General features: G+C 33.8%; 1 annotated feature.

Annotated features, from left to right (window-relative positions):
• Nucleotides 5,296-5,355: an enhancer, noted in NCBI's record as "active region_27417". NCBI's record gives its function as "activates an Ori minimal core promoter by ATAC-STARR-seq in GM12878 lymphoblastoid cells {active_cell/tissue: GM12878}" and the evidence as "EXISTENCE:reporter gene assay evidence [ECO:0000049][PMID:35858748]".

The following is a 6,171-nucleotide window of genomic DNA, read 5'->3' on the forward strand; positions in this document are numbered from 1 at the left end:
TTTTAATTCAGTTCCATGTCCACTTTTCCACAAAAAACTTACAAGAAATGTTAAAAGACAAAAAAAACCAGTCAGGAAAGAAAAGGCAAGCATCAGCACCACTCTTGGAAATGGCAGATATTTTAGAATTATCAGACTGGAAATTTAAAATAACTATGATTAATATGTTGAGGACTCTAAAGGAAAAGGTAGACAACATGCAAAAATACATGGATAATGTAAGTAGAGAGACGGATATTTCAGGAAAGAATCAAAAGGAAAGGCTAGTAATCAAAAACATTGTAATAGAAATAAAGAATACCTTTGACAAGCTCATCAATACATCAGGTACAACAGAGGAAAAAACAGTGAACTTGAAAATATGGCACAGAAACTTCCCAAACAGAAAATCAAGAAGAAAAAAAGAGAACAAATAGAATAACATGCCTAAGAACTGTGGAAATGACAAAAGGTATAATATAAGTGCAATGGGAATACCAGAAGGAGAAGAGAGAAAGGAATAAAAAATATTTTAAATAATAATGAAGAAGAAATTTCCAAAATTAGTGACAGACACCAAATACAGATCCAATAAGCATAAGCAGATAAATACCAAAGCATATAAAACACCAAACTAAACCAAAAGCAACAAAAAAAAAAAATACGTAGGGATAGCATAATCTAACTACAAAAAGTCAAAGGCAAATAGAAAAGCTAAAAAAGCCAGAGAACAATAACAACAAAAATGCATTATCTAAAGAGGAACAAGGACAAGAATTGCATCAGCCTTCTCTTGAGAAAACATACAAGCAAGAAGTGAATAGAATATAATGTTGAAAGAAAGAAAATAACAACCTAGAATTTTGTACCCAACAAAATTATCCTTCAAAATATAGGTAACAGATACTGTGGGCCTCCTTATGTGATATAAAGTAAACAGTACCAACTATGAGGTATTTGTGCCAAAACAGTGGAACAGAAATCCAATCAGACTGTAAAGCCAAACTACATTTATAGGAAATAAGAGAAGAAAAGAAACAAGGTACATGACATCACAAGAAAGAAAACAGATTAAGTCCAGAATGTGGAATAGCTTGTATGACAATTGGGCTGGTGCGAGAATCAGTTCTGTGTGTCAACTTGGCTGGGCTTTAGTCCCTAGTTGTTCAATGAAACACTGATCTAAACATTGCTGTTAACGTATTTTGTAGATGTGCTTAAAGTCCATAATCAGTTGACTTTTAGTAAGGAATATTAGTAAGAAATTGTCATGATTTAAATATTCCACATTGTATACATACATCAAAATAAAACATTGTACACCAAAGTGTATACAATTTGATTTTTAAATTTAAAGTAATACTAAAAATAAAGAAAAGAAATGAGCTATCAAAAAGACATGGACAAATCTTAAATGCATATTACTAAGTGAAAAAAGGCAATCTGAAAAGACTATATAGTATACAATTTTGATTATTTGACATATGGAAAAGTGTAGAGTGTAAAGAGAGTAAAAAGATCAGTGATTGCCAGGGGTTTGGAGGGATGTATAGGTGCAGCACACTGAGAATTTCGAGTACAGTGCAACTTTTCTCTATGATACTATATCAGTGGATACGTGTCATTGCACATCTGTCAAAATCTATAGAATACGTAACATAAAAATACCCAAAGGATTATAAATCATTCTACTATAAAGACACGCGCACAAGTATGTTTATTACAGCACTGTTTACAATAGCAAAGACTTGGAACCAACCCAAATGCCCATCAATGATAGTCTGGATAAAGAAAATGTGGCACATACACAACATGGAATACTATGCAGTCATAAAAAGGATGAGTTCATATCCTTTGCAAGGACATGGATGATGCTGGAAACCATCATTCTCAGCAAACTAATGCAAGAACAGAAGACCAAACACCACATGTTCTCACTCATAAGTGGAAGCTGAACAATGAGAACACATGGACACAGGGAGGGAAAAATCACACACCGGGGCCTGTTGGAGGTTGGGGGGCTAGCAAAGGGATAGCATTAGGAGAAATACCTAATGTAAATTACGGGTTGATGGGTGCAGCAAACCTCCATGGTACGTGTATACCTATGCAACAAACCTGCATGTTCTGCACAAGTACCCTAGAACTTGAAGTATAATAACAAAAAGAAAAAAAAGAATCTTAATGTAAACTATAGACTTTAGTTAATAATAGATTATCCATATTAATTCATTAATTTTAACGAGTGTACCACACTAATATAAGAAGTTAATAATAGGGGAAACTGTTTGGTGCAAGAGTGAGTGAGAGGATGCATATGAGGCCTCTGTACTTTCTGTTCAATTTTTATTTAAATCTAAAACTGCTCTAAAAATACAGTATATATAATTATTTTAAAATCATAGTCTATTGAATAAACAGAATGGGAGAGAAGGAAACAATAACATTTTGGAATATGAAAAACAAACTGATGAGGGGTAATTAATTAAAAAGCTCAAGAAATCTGAATTTTTAGTGGGCATTGGGAAAGTTGAGAAGCAATATATTTAAACCACAGAACCCCAATTAACATAGGAATTGGCAACCCAAGGTACCTCTGGAAGTGTGAGTAAAAATGTAGCTAAAAATAAATGGATTAGCTGAAAGTTGGTTTAAGAAGAAATAGATCTCATATTCAGTTCCCAATGACTCATCTGTGAGAGACACCAGGTTACCAGGGTAAGTGTAACATAATGAAAACAAGGGAAATAGGTGATGATTTAATGAACATTGAGACTTCTCAGTCCTTTCCTAACAATACTTAAGTTGGCTCTTTGCTTTCAGAATTACTATTTTCCAGGCAAGACTGGGATATCCTACCATGAGGAATCTCACCAGCAGAAGAGTAAAGAGCTAAGAATTCTGAAATCAGGGTTCCCCTACATATAGTTCGGTCAGATTACCATAAAGTGACGTTTACATTGTAAATCCCACCCATACAGTCAGAAATTCTAATTAGATTTAAAGTTCCTTACTTAAATATATGACATGACAATCAAGGATTTCAGACATCTGAGCTAAGTTTCTACCATTAATAAAAGAAATAAACCAATATTGAATCATCTTGAAGGAAGAGAGACTTTTCAGAGAAATAAAATCACGGAAAATATTATTATTATTACTAGATAAATAGAGTCACATCTGAAATAAGAAAAGGATAGATTAAAATAGTATTTGAAGAATTAGAGCTCTTGGAAATTAAAAAGCAAAAAGTAAATAATGCAGGAAGTGGAAAGCTCAATAGACAATGTGGTTGGCAGACCTCTAAGATGCTTCCTGATGCTCCAGACACCTGGTTTAATTCTCTACCCTTGAGAGTGGGCTGGAACTTGTCACTAACTTGCAACCAACAGAGCACAGCAAAACTGATGCCATGTCACTCCTGAAATTAGGTTACAAAAGTTTATTACTTTCCATTTGTTAGGATTCTCTTTCTTCTGCCTTCTCACTTGCTTACTCTAATTAAGCCAGTTTCCATGTTCTGAGCTTCCCAATGGAGAGGTCCATGTGGCTAGATGCCAGTGGTGGCCTCTATCCTATAACTTATGAGAATTAGAGGCCCTCAATTCAATATCCTATAGGAATTTAATCTTATCAAGAACTACCTGAGTGAGCTAAAAAGCACACCCTCCCTGGTTGAGCTTTGACGTACTGAGCCTTATGAGAGACCCAGCGACAGAGGACTGAGGACTTAGTTAAGCCCTACCTAGACTTCTGACCTATAGAAATTGTGAGATAGTAAATGTCATTTTAAGATGCTGTGTTTTAGTTAATGTGTTATGTAGCAATAATAATTAATACCAATGAGTTGGAAAATGTTAAGAAAATATCTCTGAGAATATGGTTTAAAAAAACATAAAACAAGGGTAAAAATTTGAATGACAGAGAAAGGAGGATTAAATAGGTGAATTGCAAGAAATTTTTTAGGGCAATGAAACTATTCTCTATGATATTATAATAGTGCTAAATGACACTATGCAACTTGTCAAAATCAATAGAAGTTTATAGCACAAAGAGTGAACCTTAATGTATGTGAACGTTAAAAAAAATATTTAGAAGGTTGTGGTCCCGGAATAGAAAGCAGAATATGACAAAAAATAACATAATTGTATTATAAATAATAATTAAACAACCTCACTTACAGAAGTTGGGAGAAAGTCCTGAACTAACTAACTTTGGAAATGAATGAAGTCTGCGAGACTAAGGCAAAGAATAATTTTTTAAAAAGCTGTTAATAAACATCATACTCTAATTGATAAAGTTGTTTTCTATGGTTTTTGTAGTTAACATTTTGATACCACTATTCATTTATGCTGGAATTCAATAATGGAATGAGTAAATTCTCACTGTTGGAGTGGTAGGTTACAGTTAAACAAAAGGAGAATGCTTGAATAATCCACGTGGAAATAAATGGATTGTAGTTGGAGACTATGAACTTATTTTTGGCTTAATGAAGATATGAATGTTTACATATAGAATAGTTTACAGATGTGATTATATGTACAGTTTAGTATACACACATATATATTTCCTTGTTTGGTCATTTGAGAGGGCCTAGAAAAATTTACACTTCTAGTGCCAGTAAGCTTAGTTAGTGCCCAGATCATGGTTTCTAATGCCATTCCCTAATAAAAGGAACCAGGGCTCCTTGAAGAAATGGCTAATCCTTGGAATGAGACAGAAAATAAACCAGATGATCCTGGAGCATCTTGTATGGCCAGAGAGTAAATCATTGATAGTGTGTACCATTAATACGATGTGCTAAAAAAAGACTCTATATCTGTGGTTTTTCTCCCCCAAATCCATAACCCATTCTTATAATGAGAAAAATATCAAACAAATTTCAAATGACAGACATATTACAAAACACTTTACCTGCTCCTCCAAACAATCAAGGTTATCAAAAGCAAGGAAAGTCTGAGTAATTGCCACAGTAAAAATGAGGCAAAGGAGATATGACAACTAAATGTAATGTAGGAGAGTGGAACACAAAAGGAGGTTAGGTAAAAACTAAGGGAATCTGAATCAACTACAATTTTCTTTAATAATAATGCATCTATTATTCATTAAATATAACAAATGTATTATTATTATACTAATATAAAATATTAGTAATAGGTGAATCTTGGTGTGTAGTATGTAGGAACCCTCTGTGCTATCTTCTCAATTTTATTGTTATTTTAAAAGGTTGTGATATGGTTTGGCTGTGTCCCCACCCAAATCTCATCTTGAACTGTGGTTCCCATAATTCCCATATGTCCTGGAAGGGACCCGGTGGGAGGTAATTTAATCATGGGGGCCGGTTACTGGTTACTTGCATGCTGTTCTCATGATAGTGAGTGAGTTCTCATGGGATCTGATGGTTTTAAAAGGGGTTTTCCCCCTTTGGCCAGGCACTTCCTCTTGCTGTTGCCGTGTTAAGAAAGATGTCTTTGCTTCCCTTTCTGCAATGATTGTGTTTCTGAGGCCTCCCCAGCCCTGCTGAATTGTGTCAATTAAACCTCCTTCTTTTATAAATTACCCACTCTTTGGTATGTCTTTATTAGCAGCGTGAGAACAGATTAATATAGATTGTTTTAAAATATGAAGTAATAATGAAAATAAAATAAGTAAAATAATATAAAATAAAATTGAATTCCCAGTCCATTCGTGTAATTAAACCTCCAAATGATGATTTTCAGTTAGTGAAAATAAAATAAAACATGAAGGGGAAATTCTTCAACAAATATTTCCAAATCAAAGAGATTAAAAATTTGCACTCTGTGCAACTGTGTTACAGCCTAACAGATGAAAATAGGCTCAGACCAACGCACATAATTATGAATTTCAGAACACAAGGGACAAGAGAAGTTCCTAAAATGTTCCACTTAAAAAAAAATACAGGCCACATTAAAAAAGATAAGGAATTGGTATGGCTTCCAATTTCTCCCTAACAGCATTAGAAACTACATAAATACCTTAAAAATTCCCAGTGAAATAAATTTTAGCCTAGAATTGATATACCAAGCCAAACCCTTACTCCTGTAAAAATCAAATAAAGCCATTTTTGACATGTAAAATCACAAAAGGATTACCTTTCATGCACTCTTTCTCTGGAAGCTATTGGAGGATGTACTCCTTAAAAAGAAAGGGTATCCAAAATGAAGAGAGACG

Source organism: Homo sapiens, chromosome 8 (assembly GCF_000001405.40).
Source record: "Homo sapiens chromosome 8, GRCh38.p14 Primary Assembly".
In the NCBI taxonomy this organism is placed as follows: Eukaryota; Metazoa; Chordata; class Mammalia; order Primates; family Hominidae; genus Homo; species Homo sapiens.